General features: G+C 57.0%; 1 protein-coding gene across 35 annotated transcripts in view, besides 2 other annotated features; it reads right to left on the bottom strand.

Annotated features, from left to right (window-relative positions):
* The window catches only part of CACNA1G (calcium voltage-gated channel subunit alpha1 G), a 66,760-nt gene that overhangs the window by 20,299 nt on the left and 29,700 nt on the right, over positions 1 to 16,761 (bottom strand). For 23 of the 35 annotated variants that reach the window (NR_046055.2, NR_046054.2, NR_046056.2 and 20 more), the window contains exons 10-24: positions 16,554 to 16,705; positions 15,556 to 15,741; positions 15,323 to 15,437; positions 15,084 to 15,239; positions 12,115 to 12,183; positions 10,530 to 10,614; positions 10,253 to 10,446; positions 7,317 to 7,748; positions 6,350 to 6,450; positions 6,002 to 6,125; positions 4,288 to 4,356; positions 3,977 to 4,161; positions 2,895 to 3,021; positions 1,153 to 1,278; positions 187 to 276 (exon numbers count right to left, since the gene is read on the bottom strand). Coding sequence is in view for 30 of the 35 variants with exons in the window: in NM_001256325.2 (NP_001243254.1) it covers positions 187 to 276; positions 1,153 to 1,278; positions 2,895 to 3,021; positions 3,977 to 4,161; positions 4,288 to 4,356; positions 6,002 to 6,125; positions 6,350 to 6,450; positions 7,317 to 7,748; positions 10,253 to 10,446; positions 10,530 to 10,614; positions 12,115 to 12,183; positions 15,084 to 15,239; positions 15,323 to 15,437; positions 15,556 to 15,741; positions 16,554 to 16,705 (2,211 nt within the window). In the remaining 5 variants the exon portion in view is untranslated. The remainder of the gene's footprint in view (positions 1 to 186; positions 277 to 1,152; positions 1,279 to 2,894; positions 3,022 to 3,976; positions 4,162 to 4,287; positions 4,357 to 6,001; positions 6,126 to 6,349; positions 6,451 to 7,316; positions 7,749 to 10,252; positions 10,447 to 10,529; positions 10,615 to 12,114; positions 12,184 to 15,083; positions 15,240 to 15,322; positions 15,438 to 15,555; positions 15,742 to 16,553; positions 16,706 to 16,761) is intronic. The other 12 variants (NR_046057.2, NR_046058.2, XM_006722160.5 and 9 more) reach the window with 1 other exon arrangement.
* Positions 10,363 to 10,863: an enhancer, noted in NCBI's record as "H3K4me1 hESC enhancer chr17:48673674-48674174 (GRCh37/hg19 assembly coordinates)". NCBI's record gives its function as "activates a minimal SCP1, AML or CMV promoter by ChIP-STARR-seq in primed H9 embryonic stem cells {active_cell/tissue: H9 hESC(primed)}" and the evidence as "EXISTENCE:reporter gene assay evidence [ECO:0000049][PMID:30033119]".
* Positions 13,474 to 14,282: an enhancer, noted in NCBI's record as "H3K4me1 hESC enhancer chr17:48670255-48671063 (GRCh37/hg19 assembly coordinates)". NCBI's record gives its function as "activates a minimal SCP1, AML or CMV promoter by ChIP-STARR-seq in primed H9 embryonic stem cells {active_cell/tissue: H9 hESC(primed)}" and the evidence as "EXISTENCE:reporter gene assay evidence [ECO:0000049][PMID:30033119]".

The following is a 16,761-nucleotide window of genomic DNA, read 5'->3' as shown; positions in this document are numbered from 1 at the left end:
AAACATGTTGTAGACCAATAAAACATGCCCAGATTTGGCCCACAGGCTACCAGCAACAGCCTCTGCTGTAAAATATGATGCTTCTTTCATGGCATTTTGCCACCCTGCCTTGCTCTTTCTGTCCTGGAATCAGCCCATGCTGAGTGACCTGAGCCCACAGATGGATCCTGCCCACCTCAGCCCTACCTGCTGGTCCACGCCCACAGCATCCAGCCCATCGTACATGATGTCCACCCAACCATCCTTGGAGGCCAAAACGAACAGGGACATCAGGGCCTGATGGGGAGGAGGAGAAGGAGACATTTGAAGTCTAGGATGTGTGGCTGAATCACCTATCACCTGCCCCCAAAGTGCCTCCTGCATCAGCTCCAAGTACCCCAGCCCTTGAGGGGTCAAGCTGGAGTCACACTCCAGGCTCCAGGAGAGCCCTCCCTCTCAGGGTTCCATAACTGAGCTGCAGCTGGAGGGGCCCTGAGAGATGGTCACACCCTCTGCCCTCCGCCAGGTAGGAGAAGGGACACAAAAACCCTGGAAATCCAGAAACCAAAACCAGAGTGGGTCTGGGAATCAAAACTGAGCGAGCAATTTCATTTTCTGCATTTCTGTTTCTGCAAATATGGAGTGAGGAAAGGAATTATCTTGACAATATATCCGTCCCTTCCACCATGTTAAAGAAATATACACATCATCTCATTGCATCCTTATTGTGACCTCCGAGGAGATTCTATTATGACTCCATTCACCAGTTAATGAAACTGAGGCCCTGGTAAGTCAGCTGCTCCAGGTCATTGAGCTGACAATGGTGGGGTCAGGATTTGCACAGGATTCACATCCAGGGCTGCCTGCCCCCACTGCCACGTGTGCTTCCTGCTCCACCATGTAGCTCTGTGGCCCTGGGCAAGCCCCTTACCCTCTCTGAGCCTCTGTTTCTTCATCTTTAAGGACGGCTAGAGACCCCATGGGCCCACTTTTTGGGGCACTGTGGGATGGACTGGGCTTTGCGACATGCTGGTGGTTAGACAGCAGAGGGTGTGAAGGGCTGATCTCTTCGTGGAGCCCACCTCCACCGGAGTCAGCAGGTATCACTAAGCATGGCCCTGTGCCCCCTCCAGCCTCCTTCACCACAGCCCCACCTCTGAGCCTGGGGCTCACCTGGCCAAGGTTGTCAAAGTTGTACTTGTGCCGGACCCACCGGTAACTGGCCTCGGCACAGTCCGATTTATTGGTGATGTTCCTGGTATCCTCGCCCTGGCACACGAAAAACTTCCCTTTGAAGAGCTGGACACACATTCCCAGAGACAGAGAAAAGTGAGCTGTGACCACAGGAAGCCCAGGACTCCTGAGCCCCACCCCCACGCCAGCCTGGGCACATTTTGAGTGAGTGTGGGGTGCTCTGCTCTGGGGCCAGTCAAGTCAGGGAAACACTGACAAGAGTCTCCCCTGCCGACACCCCCTTCCTTTCCAAGAGTGGGGAGGAAAGGTAATCGGGGCGGGCAGTGGGAAAGGGTGGAGGCGGGTAACAGTCATTCATCTTCCACCAACGGTTAGGCCAGGCGTGTGCCAAGTGGGAGTCCCCAGCATCATCTGGGAACATGCTAGAAACACATCTTCTCAGGTCCAGCCCAGATCTGCTGAATCATACACTCTGAGGTGGGGGAGCAGCGATCTTTTAACAAGCCGTTCTGGTGATTCTGACGCAAACTCAAGTTTGAGAACCACTGAGCTGGGCATTTAATTCTCACAGCAGCTCTGGGTGGGGGAGTGGGTATCATCAACCCCACTTTACAGATAAGAACAACGGAGGCTCAGAGAAGTTAATCCACTCACTAAGGTCCCATAGCCAGCAGGTAGCAGAAAGGGAGCTCGAACCCAGGTCTGTCTGATTGGAAAGCTCACCCTCATTCCATTATAAACCAGGCTATGACCACTAGTGAAAAACGGAAGGCAGGACCAGGGGGCCTGAGCAAACTGCTCAAAACAGACCTAAATCCACCGGAAGGACTGGGCTCAACAATGCTTCACTCTACTGACCCAAGGAGGCTGGGAAGTGAGGAAGGGGAAGGGCACTGGGTGGGAGTGGGGAGGGTGTACAGAGAGGCACCACACAGCTTTGGTAAATGCACCCCAGCCTGTTCCCTAGGGCTAGAGAATTTCTAGGAAGTCAGGGAACAGCCCCCAACCCAGGGCAGAGTGGACATCCCAGGAAGCCAAGGGAACGAGGGGCGGGGAGGGGAGGGTGTAGCCACCCAGGGGCTCCCACGCTGCCTGAACAGCCAGCTGTCTACCCTGCAGCTGAAACAGCTGGAGCCAAGGGCCCTGGAAGACTATGATGGAGGGGCTCCCCGGCCCCCTGAGGCGTCTGCTGAATCCTGCAGGCAGCTCTGGCTCTTTCTCTTCCAAAGCCAAGTCTCCTCCCTGGGCCCAAGGCCAAGTTTCCCCAGCAGCCCCCACTTCCTGCCTCGTCTGGGGTCTGCACCCGCCTGCCTGCCAGCACGCTGCTAACCTGGCCCAGCTGTCTGGGCCCTGGATCCCCAGACCTGGCCTGCAGCCCACTGTGCTCGAGCCGGGAAGGAAGGGAGGGGATCCCGGAGTAGACCGCGGGCCAGCGTCTGTGCTCAGGGAGTGCGTGCAGAGGGCAGGAACAGCAGCCTGCGGCTCCCATGGCCTGAAGCCTCTCGGCAGCCCCGGTCCTCCTTGGGGCCTTCCTCTAGGCTCCCACTTTTCTTTGAAATGCCCAGGAGGTAAAAGGGCCTAGAGCCTGGAGGGAAGCGTCCCTGCTTATTCCTTTCTGGAATGAAGGCAGCAACAGCAGCTTGAGCCATAGGACCCAGGGGCCAAGGGGAAGGGCCCTCTTCAGGCTTTCACCCACAGCTGGCCCCCAGAACCCCACACACCTGCACCCCCAAGATGCCGAAAATGATGAAGAAGGCACAGCAGATGACTACAATGTTGCCGATGGGTTTCAGTGAGGACATCAGCGTCTCCACCACCAGCTTCAGCCCCTGCGCCCGGCTGATCACCCTGGGGAGGGGAGGGAGGGAGGTGATAAGGCTTCCCCCAGCCCAGACCCTCCCTTGTCCCTTGACCCTGCTCCCCACCCCCAACCTTGACCACTGGTCCCTTCCTGGCCTCTGGTGGCAGAACACAAGTCCTCTTTTCATGGGACCCCTGCCATCAGGACCCCTATTGTAATCTCTCAAAACAAGTGGCAGAGATCCCCATGCCCCACATCTCCACCTCCATCCCAGGATGTCAAATGTACGACCTGTTTGGGTTGGGAGTGGGGAGGATTCAACTCAAGTGAGGCGTTCCCTAGAGATGCAGTGTATTGTGGGTTGGGGGCACCAGGAGATAAACTTGTAGGGGAGCAGGCAGAGAGGGGAAGGGGCAGAGGGAGATGGACTATCACAGTCAGGGAAGCATCGCCATTAGTCCACATCATCCCTATTAAAAAAAAAAAATCTGAGTTGGGGGTGGTGACTGGCTGATTGGAAAGGGATTCCTGAGAGGGTGGATCCCTGGTCAGGAGAAATGTCACCGGGGGGTGGTCACTGGCAGGCGCCTGAAGATGGGGAAAGCCAGCAAGAGGAGCCTGTCACCTCACGGGGAGGGGCTGAGTGTCACCCCTAGAGGCCACACAAGGGAGAGCCGCAGCTGAAGACTGTGAGAGTCCTGCTCGTGGCCCCTTGTGCTGTGTGCTGCACAGGGCTGCAGTCACCTTACATCACATGGTGCAGCGGCCCTGAGGAATATGTCATGTTGAAGAGGAGGAAAGCAGGTGTGCACCTGGAGGGAAATTACTGCGGCCGTAATCTGAGTGTTGTCTGGGGCGGGGACAGGATCGCCTGTGGGGGTCACAGACAGGATGCTGGCCTGTGCAGGCTTTTGTTTCGTGGCAGGGAGTGCTGGCGGTGGGAGATGTCCCTGCGGAGGGGGCCACCTCTTGGAGGTGTTCCAGTGCTGGGGAGGGAGTCACCTGAGCGGGCGCAGGGTCCGCAGCAGCCGCAGCACCCTCAGCATGCCCAGGATCTTGGTGCCGCTGTCAGAGACCATGGACACCAGAATGTCGATGACGGAGATGAGCACCAACAGCCCGTCCAGCACGTTCCAACTGCTCCGCAGGTACGCCTGCTCCCCGAAGCACCAGCCCAGTGCCACCACCTGGGGACCACCGCCACGTCATCGGCCGCCCTCCCTGCGCTGCAGCCAACCCTCCCACCCTCAGCCCAAGCTGTCTCCACCCCCACCAGGAACCAGAGGTCCCAAGCCAACACCAGCCCCCATCACCTTCACTGTCATTTCAGCCAGAAAGACTGCGGTGAAGATGTAATTGGAGAGGGTCAGGAAGATGCGTTCCTGCAAGAGAGGGGAGGCAGGGGTTGCCCGCCAGGAAGCCCCCACCCTTGGGCCAGGTCTGCTCTGCATACACAAGTCAAAACCTGCTTCTAACATTTGACTCAGAAAACGACCCCCACCCTCCACAACAATGTAGATCACGCCCCTCTCATACACGCACAGAGCCAGTGCCAGGCCCCCTGACTCCCCTGCAGCTCTGTGGACAGTCACACCCCTGTCTGTGACCAGAGCTCCCCGCCCCCACAGCCACTTAGCCCAAGGGGGAGAGGATCTGCACTGCAGTGCTGTGATCTGCGTCCCACGTCCTAAGCCCTATTCCCTGGTTCCTTTTAAAAACTGGGGCAGGATCTCACTTGATCTCTGACCCTTGCCTGCCATCCCACCCTCTTCACTTGCTTTCCTGCTGTGCACCCCAGAAATGGAGCAGCAGTGGAAGCTGGGGTCCTGACACAGACTCTGCACCCCCAGGCACAGGCTGGGGCAGGGCAGGGAGGAAGGCCATCTAGTTCCCTGGCATCTGTGGACTGAGTCCCTCCCTGGGTGGCCAGGAGGCAGGCGCAGATCTCTAGAGAGGTGGCGGGCAGGGTGTGAGCACAGAGAGGAGGGAAGGAGAGGAGCAGGTACAGTGACAGAGCTGGAGATGGAGAAGCTGAGTGGGAAGATGGTGAGAGAGACGTGGAGACAGTGACATGGTGACAGAGAGCTCTACAGCAGGGCCTCAGGCGGGAGGCAGCCAAGGCTGGAGTGCAGCCAGCGCCCCTGCCTTACCCTGTGACTCCGGGTGTGAGGTCCCCAGTGCGGGTGCTCTCTCACCCGCCTAGTCTTGGGCTGCTCCCGCCATTCCTCAGGCTCCCTCCACCCCGACCCTAATAGAAAACAGAAGCCCCAGCAGCGCTGAAATCTAAACAATGGTGTGGGAGATGGCAAAGAGGGATGAGAGGCAAACCCTGGCCACCTCTAAGCAAGTGGTGCAGGATGCCGTGAGCGGAAACACAACCACCCCCCACCCATCCTTCTGGAACCAGAATTGCTGCCGACAGCGAAGGGCTATAATGCCAGGCTAGGAAGAGACAGCTCCCAGGGTGAGCTGGGCCCACCCTGAAGGGGTTCGACCCTGGGGCGGTATGTCCAGGGCCTCTGGCTCTCCTTCTGAGAAGGACTGACAGGTTCGCAGCCAAGCAGAAGTGACCCATGTCCCCACTATGGCCCCTGAAAATCTACTTGGTTTTGACCTGGAAGGATGACCAGGAGCAAAGAACGGCTTCCATGGCCACTCTGCATGCCCCCGAGGCCCTGAGGCAGACTGGGCAAGATGCCTCCCCATCTGCACACAGCCCCTGCACCGCCCCAGCACTCCCCGACTCACGCGTGTGCCCCACAAGGCTCTGGCTCATGAGAAATAGCCTGGAATGAGACAAAGCACCCAGCTGGGCTGATGTATCATAGAAGGGAAACTGAGGCAGGAGAGGACACAGGGGGCATCCCGGGGACCAGGATCTGGTGAGAGACCTAAAGGAGAGTCCTGGCCCCCTCGTTCCCTGCTGTGTGACTTGCAGGTCAGCAACTGTGGCCTCCTTGCCTCCCTCACTGGTCCTGAGTGCAAACCCCAGGAGAGGCCTTGCCCTGAGCGGGGCTGGTGACTCACAGCGCTGTGGGGGTCAATTTTGGGGCGCTCCATGGCGATGGTGATGCAGTTAAGGAAGATGATGACAAGGACCACGTGGTCGAACATCTTGTGGGTGATGATCCGGTGACACAGGAGGCGGAACCTGCCCAGGCATGGAGGCAACGGCTGAGAGGGGGAGGCAGGGCAGGTGGCAACGAGAGGCACCGCCCGCAGCCCCTGCCCCTCCAGTGCCCTCCCAGCTGAGGCCACCCTGCTCACACCCCAGGCAGGGTGCCACTTCTCAAATCCCTGACAGCATCACCAGCGGTAATTTCCCGTGAGAAGAAGAGGTCGGGACACAGGTCAGACCCCTGCCCTGTCACTTACCTGGACTGAGGAGGGAAGATGTAGGCTGACCAGGAGTCTCGCTCGAGGCAGCAGGCAGGGAGTCGGGCTCGGATCCACGCGCGGACCCGTTCCCCTTTGCTCTGCAGAACAAACACTGGAGTATGAGCAGGACCAGGCCTCCAGGTTCCCCGGCTCCTGGCTCCTCAGCAGAGTCACGAGCCTCACTCCTTGTCTACCCTCTCCCACCTGGGGCCCAAGCTCTGCCCTGCCTCTCTTCCTTTATTCCTAAAGCCACCTCCTCATCTCCCTGTCAACCTTGCCAGGCCCCCTCCCCATCCCTGAGGACCCCTTGCCTCTCCACCTCCTCCCTCTCCTCCCCTGCATCCCCAACCCCGCTCTCCCCTCTCCCCACCCCTGCCTCCAGCCCAGCCCCCTGCCTGTCCTCCCTGCTGAGCTGGGAAGCAGCATCAGTTATCAAACACTGGCCCCACACAGCTGTCTGTTCAGAGACACACCTCAGCTGAGGAGACACTGGCCCTGCTCTTCACATGCTAACCCTGAGGTCACTGCACCCCATCCCCAGGGGGAATGGTGGTGATGAGGGGCTGGGGCAGGGGCACATGGGTATGGATAGAGTGGGAAGTCATGGCTTGTGATGAGGTTGAGACGAGAAAGGGGGATGCGGGGCATCAGTTTGGAGAGATGAGTGATGGGTCTTTCTGAGTCACAGGGGGAGGGCCATGAAAGATTCATACACATCTGTCCAAAATCATTCATATCCACCAAGGGTGGCAGAGCCGCAGCCCCAGGCATAGGCATGACAAGGATCTGGGGCTTGGCAAGGCGGGCAGAGGGAGAAAAGGGATTGTTTGGAGCTCGGTTTCTAGGTGCCCCTTGATATTCCGTGGGCTTGGAATGGTAACTCCCTTATACCCTGCCAGGCCAGGCACACCTCCCCTCTTTCAAGGTCAGGGGTGAGGGGTCACTGTGCCCACAGGGGCCTCACCAGGTTGCCCTCGTCATCGGCGTCATCCCCATCCAGTGGGGGGTCATCAGGCCGCAGGGCCCGGGCCAGGCGCCCTGAAGCCGACTTGCCATTGCAGTCCTGGTGCTCAGAAGCAGACCCTCGGCCACTGGCAGTGCGATGCAGCCCTGGCACCTGCAGTGTGTCTGGCAGGTCAAAGGAACTCTTGGCCTCCCGCTCCAGGGACCCCCTGTGGCGATGGTCACTGCCCGCAGGGCTGGCCCGCTCCTCTTCTGAGCTCTCCTCTTCATCCTGGCTCTCCTGGCCTTCTCCCGACAACAGGGACCGCCGCTCTCCACTTGGGCTTCTCCGCTTCAGGCTGGGTGCACGGCCGAGGCTGTTCCGGCTGGAGCGCCTGCTGGTCCAGCTGCTTGCAGCGCTCCAGGGGCTGTGCGGAGAGCTGCGGGCGCTGGGCTGTGGGTGAGCAGGGGAGGAGTGGTCTCAGGCAGGGCCCAGCAGCCCTGTCCTCTCATGTGCACCCGGTCTCCTGGGAGCCTCACTGGCATCACATCAAGTGTAGGGATGTGAGCAGGAGCTCTGGACTCTGATGCCTGGGTTCAGATCCTGGCTCACCCCAACCAGCTGTGTGACCTGGGGCAAGTTATTAAGCCTCTCTGTGCATCTGTTTCCTCATCTGTAAACTAGATATGGCAATAGAGCTCATTCCTCATTTATTTGGTGAGAGAAGTGTTATCATCAGCTGAGTGGCAGTATATATAATGGGGTGAAGAAACACAACTCAACAGCAAAAAATCAACCCAATCTAAAAAATGGGCAAAGGGCCTGAATAGACATTCCTCAAAAGGAGACACAGGGCTGGGCACGGTGGCTCACACCTGTAATCCCAGCACATTGGGAGGCCGAGGCGGGCAGATCACCTGAGGCCAGGAGCTCGAAACCAGCCTGGCCAATGTGGTGAAACCCCATCTCTACTAAAAATAAAAAAAATTAGTTGGGCATGGTGGCTCACGCCTGTAATCCCAGCTACTCAGGAGGCTGAGGCAGGACAATCACTTGAACCTGGAAGGTGGAAGTTGCAGTGAACTGTTGCGCTCCAGCCTGGGTGACAGAGTGAAACTCCATCTCAAAAAAAAGGAGACACAGATGGCCAACAGGTACATGAAGAAATGCTCAACGTCACTAATCACCAGGGAAATGCAAATTAAAACCACAATGAGTTATCTCACACCTGTTGGATTGGCTATTATGAAAGTGATGAAAGATAACAAGCGCTGGTGAGGATCTGAAGAAAAGGGAACCCTTGTGTCCTGTTGGTGGAAATGTAAATTAATACAGCCATTATGGAAAACGGTATGCAGGTTCCTCAAAAACCTAAAAATAGAGTTGCCATATGACCCAGCAATTCCAGCACTGGGTATTTATCCAAAGGATTTGAAATCAGTATGTGGACGAGATACGGGCATTCCCATCTTCATTTCAGCATTATTCACAATAGCCAATATATGGAATCAACCTAGTATCCATCAATGGATGACTGGATAAAGAAAATATGGGCCAGGTGCAGTGGCTCATGCCTGTAATCCCAGCACTTTGGGAGGCCAAGGCAGGTGGATCACTTGAGGCCAGGTATTTGAGACCAGCCTGGCCAACATGGTGAAACCTCATCTCTACTAAAAATACAAAAAATTAGCCGGACATGGTGGCACATGCCTATAATCTCAGCTAATCAGGTGGCTGAGGCAGGAGAATCACTCGAACCTGGGAGGCAGAGGTTGCATGCAGTGAGTTGAGATCGTGCCACTGCACTCCAGCCTGGGCGACAGAGCGGAAAGGAAAAGAAAGAAAGAAAGAAAGAAAATATGGCATACATGCACTGTGGAATAATATTCAGCCTTAAAAAAGAAGACTGTCATTTGTGATAACATGGATGAACTGGAGGATATTATACTAAGTGAAATACACAAGGCACAGAAAGACAAATAAATACCATATGATCTCACTTATATGTGAAATCCAAAAAAATTGAACTCATAGAAGTAGAGAGTGGAATGGTGATTAGCAGAGGCTGGGGTTGGGAGAGGTAAGGATGGGACCAATGGGGAAGGCTTAGCCAAAGGATACGAAGTTTCAGTTGGACAGGAGGAATCAATTTTCGAGATTTATTGCACAGCATGATGGCTATAGTCAATAATAACGTAATGCATATTTATTTCAAAATTGCTAAGAGTAGATTTTTAAATGTTCATGCCACAAAAAAAATAAGTATGTGAAGTGATGCATATGCTAATTAGCTTGATGTAATCATCCCATAATGTATGCATATATCAAAACATCACATTGTGCCCCATAAATATACACAATTAGTATTTGTCAATTAAAAGCGAAATTTAAAAAAATTAAAAATAAATAAAATCATGAGAGCATGGGCACCAACACTAGCCTCCTGGATTAAAATGCTGGCTCTGCCATTCCCTTCTGCAATCTGAGGCTCAGGCCCCCTCTGTAAAATGGGGATCATTGTGGTACCTACCTCCCAGGGTTGGTGTGAGGATTAAATGCATTTAGAATGCTTCGGAGTAGTGTTTAGAACAGTGTCTGGCACAGAGTCAGTACCTAGATGAGGGTCTGCTATTATTATTATTCAGTCTTGAGGAGGTATGGACACCCCACCTCCATTTTACAGAAGCAGATCAGAGCGGTGGCGTCTTGCCCGAGGTCACTCAGCTAGGGTACAGAAGAGGTCAGCTTAGGCCCTGTTTTCAGCCCCCAGGCTAGGGCTCCTACCCTGGTTTGCATCACCGGCGCAGATTCCCCAGGGGCTTGTCCAGGCACACCCAGGCCCCATCCAGCCCATGGGGCAGGGGCTGTGCCCTTGGACCCGCCTGCCTCCATCCTCTCTTCCTCCTGTCCTCCTTGGAATATCTCCCACCATCAGGGTACCCACATGCACCCCCTACCGGTGACTTCATCTCGTGGGCCGCCCCAGGCTCTGCCGACCCGCTGCTGCTGGTGCGGCGCGACGCAGGGCCCAGCGCCTCGCCCAGGCCCGTGCTGGTGCTCTTGGGCAGCGACATGGGTGTGGCGGCCGTGTGGATGATGAGAGGCGGCAGCAGGCTCTTCCGCAGCTCCGGGTGCTCTCCCAGGGACACCACTGCACGGGGAGAGAGGGAGAGATCCCGAGTCCACACAGGGCTGGCCCAGGGCCAAAAGTCGCACCCCAGGATAGGTACTCACAGGCCAAGCACTTCTTCCTGTCCCCATCACCATCCAGGCTGGGTGAGAAGAAATCGGGCTCTGATTCGGACTTGTTGGCATCTCCCTAGGGCAGGGGAGCAGCGGACCATTAGGGATCCGGCCAGGCTTGGGTGGTTGGGATGGACCGGGCCTCCCTCTCTTCACACACGCACACCACATATAGGCCACAGGAACCAGCAACCACGGCACGAGACATGCACGGCGCAGGCCAGACCCCCCAGGCTTGGGGCCCGAGGCTTCCCAGGGCCCCACCACCTCTGCCTCTCCAGCCACACCTCAGAAAAGGCCACAGCTTATGTGAGCCCACAGCACAACCAGCCTGGCTGAACGGTCACCAAGGCTGGCTGGGGAGAGAAGGGGTAGCTAGGTGGCAGGTGGCACAGGCCAGAGGGGGCTGGGGACCTGGGGACCTGAGTGAAGTGGTCACTAGAGCCTCTCTTGCAAAAGTTCACTGGAGGCCCTTTGCTTTCTCTCCACGGCTCCCCTCCCCTGAGCCTCAGACTCGAGGACCCTGGAAGGAAATTGAAAGACCCCAGACAGAACAGCTCAGCCCGAGGACGCCACTTCAGTCCCTCGGTGTCTTCCCTTCATCTTCCCCAAGTCCCGGCCCCCTCCCTGGCCCCATTTTTACCTCTCTCCCTGTCTCTGGGACAGTTTTTTCTTTCTTCTTAGCAGGTCAGTAGGTTCCCCAGTAATTACATACTTCTCCTTAAGAAGTTATTAAAAAATACTTGATTGCTACTTTTGATAAGGACATAAATATTGGGTAATTGGCATCTCAGGGGATCATTTTCATTAACTCAGTTTACAGCCCTAACGAGGCCTTTAATTATCAAGTGGGATCTCCAGGGGGCTGCTCGGGATATGCAGCACCATGGGGTCCCACAGGAATGCTGGCTTCGCCCCGAATTCTGGTGCTGGGGCAGGGAACAGCAGAGCACAGGCTCATCGTGGGGCCAGACCGGGAGCCAGCCCTGACAGCGCCAGCCGGACCCAAGTGGGTGATGAAGGGGCCAAAGGCTCAGAGGTGATTTAAAATATTGGTACATTTTGGCAAGAGCCACATCCCATCCCCACATCCTCCAAGGACTTGTCCTGAGCTGAGACAGCTTGCGGGGTCTCCAACAGGGGCCTGGGGCAAGGGGTGAAGGGGTGGGAGATGGGGGAGTATGGTCTACGGCCAGATCTTGACTCCACTGAAGCCGGACGTCTGGGACTCCTCCGGGACCTCAGCACAGGCACGCACACACGGGGTGCCCCACACACGTGCACACAGAGGATTCTAAGTCCCTTCCTTCTCCGGCCCATCCACCAGTCTGGCAGGGATGGAGATGGTGCCCTTGGTGGGTTGATGGGGGCAGAGGCAAGGAGGTGCCTCCCTTCCGTGTCCTCAAGGGGGAAGGGACTTAAAATCGAAGCAAACCTCACAACACCAATGACCATCACGGCTATGACAGGTTGCACAGCAGCGGAGCGTGAACACGAGCACAGAGACACGGAGGCGGAGTGGAGGGGCACGGGCATGGGGCACGGGAGGCATGCCGGCTCATGATCGCGTACCTACCCCCTGGGAGTCGACAGGCAGCTGAATACAGCTTAACTGTCCACTCGCATCTTCCCGTTTGCTGATTTCCTACAGGGAAAGGGGGAGGCAGGGGAGGGCTGCTGGTCACAGGCGCTCGGGGCCTTCAGATATCGGCAGTGTCGAGAGAGGATGAAGAAAAGGAGGGGCGCAAACCCCACAGCAGGGGAACTGAGAGACACGGGGAATGGGGGGGCAGAGAGGGGACAGAACAGCCTTCCAGAATTCAACTACAGGCCCTCAGGCCAGAATGAATCTGAAGGGTGAGTGCAGAGGCCAAAAAGATGGGGACAAGGGCAGGTCCCCCCATAATCCTAATAATAACAGCCACCATTCATTAAGGGTGTGCCTGGCATGGGAAACTGCCTCCTTAACACCAGCTGGCTTCCTTGCAAGGTAGGAAGTGGGTTCCAGGATCGCCATCTTACACAAGAGAAACCCGAGATTTGGAGAAGTTGCGGAAACTGCCCCAAATCATACAGAGTAAGAGGTGGATCTGGGCCTGGAACCCGAGTCTGTGGCTCAGAACACCACTCTCCTCTCACCGGTTCGGAGGCAGTGGGCTTGGGGAATGGGTAGGAAGCAAGGAAAGGAATGGACGAAAGTCAGAGTCAACACGGAGCCAAGTCAGGCCTCATAACGTCTCATGCTCTCAGCTTAAGTCCCTTCAGATCAGAACAGATCCAGCTGCTCCGTTTGAGATGGGATGTGACAAGTAATGCTGAGATGATGGCTCTGATGTTATTTAGTATCAATTAATGGCCTCACACAGGGCCTGCTGCCTGTTCATTTAATTAAGTGTGTGAATGATAAATACACAGGGATTCAGGGCGCTGCCCCCTGCAAGTCAGGAAATCACCAGCCAAGCAGGCTGTGTCCCTGGACCACCCCCTCCTAGCTCTTGGCAAGGTAGCAAGGCCAGCAGGGGGGCTACCCTTGAAGCCTCCTGCTGGGGAAGCCCACCAAAATGGGGGCAGCCACTTCCTCTGCCAAGGTGGGTTGTCTTATTTGTCAAAATAAAAACAAAAATCCCAGGCCACCACAACAGCAAAACCAGACTCCCCTGCCAGACCGTGGGGCCCCCTGAAACCTTACCCAGGAGAGGGCAGGTGCCTTGGAGTTGTCCAGGCCATGGGCATCGAAGGACACTCCCCAGCCCTGCCCACCACATGCAGGACAGGGGAGCAACTGGCCCAGCCCCTCCCATGGGCACTCCGGGGCCACAGTCACTGCCCACTCCCATGGAGAGGGGATGTTCTTAAAGTCCTTTCTCCATCCCACCCCAGGCCTGAAGCATCCCAGCCCAAGACACCGCATCCTGAGTGAGACCCTCCCTGCAAAGGTCCTGATACTGCGAAGGTTGGGGAGGGTGTGGCTGCGTGGGCCTTGTTGAGCCCTCACACTGGGGCAGTCCCAGGCCCCCAGCAGGGCCAGAGTGACCAGGCCGCCCCAGGGCCAGGCTGCGCTCATTCCCACACTCTGGCTTTGCTGTTGCCTAGCAACCAGGCCGCTCAGCTGCACTCAAGTTAACAAGGTGTTTGCTGAAAGGGCTGAGTGCTGGGGAGGGGGCCATCTGTGCTGGGCACCTCCAGACTGCCTTGGCGGCTGAGTGGCAGAGGAGGGGAGGGGAATAGGCCCGCGGTGTTTTCCATTTCCCTCCACAGAGTTGCACGGGAATTTTTCTGAGGGAACCGTGGCTGGCAGGAGCTGCCTTCAGAAGGGGCCAGGGGGCCCGGTCCTCACTCAGCTCCTCCTCTTATAGACCCTGAGCAGCAGCAGAGTGAGTCTACTGGCTCTTGTGGGAGTACTGTGGTGCCCCTTAATTCTTCAGGCCTCAGGGAACCCCCAAATTAGTGTCCCATTCCAGGGAGCATACCGGCGTCCCTCCCTCCTTCCCTGCAAGAGGCACAGCCATCACCAAAGCCTCCCCCACCAGCTGCCCTGGCTGCCCCACAGGAGGGAGGAAATGCGATAACGGATAACTACAGACTGAAAAGGGTAGCGGGGAGAAAGACCAGTGTGGGACAGATACGCTGCACCCCACCAACCCAGCCGGCCCACAGGGAAAAGCCCTCCCTTGAAAGACTGGGAAAGAGTCGGAAAATAGATTTTTGTTTTTCCACCGTGTGCCAGGTATTTATAGACCAGGCCGCAGCGGGAGTTTCCATCCGGGTCACCCAGAGAGAACTGGACCAAGAGCTTCTCCAGACCCAACCTGGAGCGTTTCTAGGTTGGGTCAAACTGCCCTGTTTGAAGCCCCAGCAAGCTGGGGTGGGTCTGGGGGCTCGGGTGGGAAGAGAGGCAGAGCTGAGGGAGAGGAGGGGGTGCAGCCCTCTGGGCAGAGGCTGCTCGCTGACATGGCAAGGGCAGGATCAATGTAAATCAATATTAATTGATGACGCTGCCTGTGACGAAGGTGATGGAGCCTGGGCTGGAAATAGGACGCTCATCTCTGCCATGCCCGTAGCTAATTGGGCTCATTTCTCACCCTGGGCAGCTCAGCCCTGCTCTGGTCTTAGTGGCATCTTCATCTGCTCAGTCAGAGCTCAGATAACTTGCACACAAGCCTCCTGCACCCCTCGGCTCAGAGGGGTCCTCTCCGGGTGTTCCATAGAGCACTGTGCTCAGGAGTCCAGCTGCACCACAGGCAGACACTTATCTGGTCTGCCTCTCTGGGGAAGGGGTCTAGCCAACTCTGAAGGGGATGTCTACTCGGTAGCTAAGCTTTGGTGGAGGGACCCCAAACAACCACCCTGTGTCCCATGTGATGAGGGGCTGCACGAGATCTGGAGCCTCCCGCCCTGGTCCACCCCGGCTTAGTCTAAGAGGCTCTTCCTGTGGGACTTCCCAGGCCCCCAAAGTTGGCAACAGAGGGAGGAGGCTCAAGACAGGCAGCCAATTGGAAGTGGGACTGCTGTGGGCAGGGTGAGGTGGGCAGAGCAGTGGGTTACCTCCGCCTGGAAGCCCTCCACCAGAATGGCGACCAGCAAATTGAAGAGCACGTAGTTGCCGAAGGTCATGAGGGCAATGAAATAAAGGGCCGCCCAGGACGACGTGGAGGCCATACCATTGTAGAGGACTTTGTTCCAGTCCTCCTGGGTCAGGATCTGCGGGCAGAAGACAGGAATCAGGGCCTATACTAGGGGCACCTGACGGCCCCTGTCCACGCCCTGCCCTGTTACCCTCGCACCTGAAAGACAGTGACGATGGCCCAGAGCAAGGAGTCAAAATTCTTCCGGTCTGGCAGGGTGTCCCCATCCCGCTCAGAGGCAAACTTGCAGCCGAAGAGATGCATGCCCAGGATGCTGTGGGCACAAGGGGGCCACAAGCTAGGGATCAGAGCCCAGTGCTCCTCACCCCTCAGGCCCTCCTGCCCCCAGCCTGGCCGGTCTCTCAGCCGGCAAGGTGCCATGCCGCCCTCACCTGAAGATGAAGATGAAGAGCATAAGCAGCATGCAGAAGGTGGCCACGTTGTCCATGGTCTTCATGAGCACCACCAGCTGCCGCTGCAGCGCCGGCAGGAAGCGCACCAGCTTCAGCACACGCATCAGGCGGAAGGTCCGCAGCACCGACAGGCCGCCCCCCTGCTGGCCCACGATCTCCCACACGCTGCAAAGGGGGCAGGCAGCCTGAGCCCCCTGCACCTTCACCCTCTCCCCCTACTCCCTCGGAGAGGACTCAGTAGCACCCAAGGGCCTGGCTGGGTGGGCACGTCGAGAGAAAATGGGGCACAGGTGGGCCCCCAGACCTCTAAGCAGGAGCCTCCAAGATAGTGAGGATTTGGGTGACAGCCCCGGCCCCCTCCGCCCTCTCCTCCCTGCCAGAGATCACATCCTGGCAGTAGACAACTCCCTCCCTAAATCTGGCCAATGCAACTGCATCAAGTTATGGAATATTTGCTTTGTTCTCTTCTAATGAAATCTAAAGCCAATTCCAAAAGCAATAAAGTGGTTCTCCTGGCCCCAGGCCTTGCGGGGACGGAGCACTTTCCCAAGGTCTTGGAAACCCTAAAGCAAGTTGCTGGTGTCTGAGATGATTTCCAAGCACTTTTCGAGCCGGGCAGCTGGCTGGGCCTCATACCTCTTCCAACTCCTCTAAAGCCAATCTCACCCTCGCCCATCCCAGGCCTGGGTGGGGTCAAGGACAAGAGGTAGAAGTGGAGAGAGGAGACTAAAGAGGGGCCTGGGCAATGAAGAGGTGAGCCCAAGGTCAACAGGAGCAAGGTGGGGCCAAGAGAGAGATGGAGGGGGCATGGGGACACAGAGAGCCCCCCACCTAGGAGGAGTGGCAGGTCCTGTGGGGTCAGTGGGGCCTGACTCCAGACCCCTCCACCCCAGGGGAATAGGTGGCATGGCCCCTGGCCCCAAGCCACCCCTGCTACCATTCCTCAACTGAGAGTCAGTGCCGGGGGGTAGTCATACCTGATGACCACAATGACACCATCGAAGATGTTGTAGGGATTCTTGATGTAGCCAAAGGGACCATACACAAGCAGCTTCAGCAGCATCTCCAGGGCAAAGAGGCTGGTGAAGACGATGTTGCTGATTTCTAGGGCGTTGGTAAGCTCCTCGGGCTGCAGGGCAGGGTGGGATGTGAGGCAGCTGGCTTATCACTGAGCCCCTCGATCCA

Source organism: Homo sapiens, chromosome 17, assembly GCF_000001405.40.
Source record: "Homo sapiens chromosome 17, GRCh38.p14 Primary Assembly".
Lineage (NCBI taxonomy): Eukaryota > Metazoa > Chordata > Mammalia > Primates > Hominidae > Homo > Homo sapiens.
The sequence above is the reverse complement of the archived record's forward strand: the minus strand, read 5'-3'. Positions and strand labels throughout refer to the sequence as shown.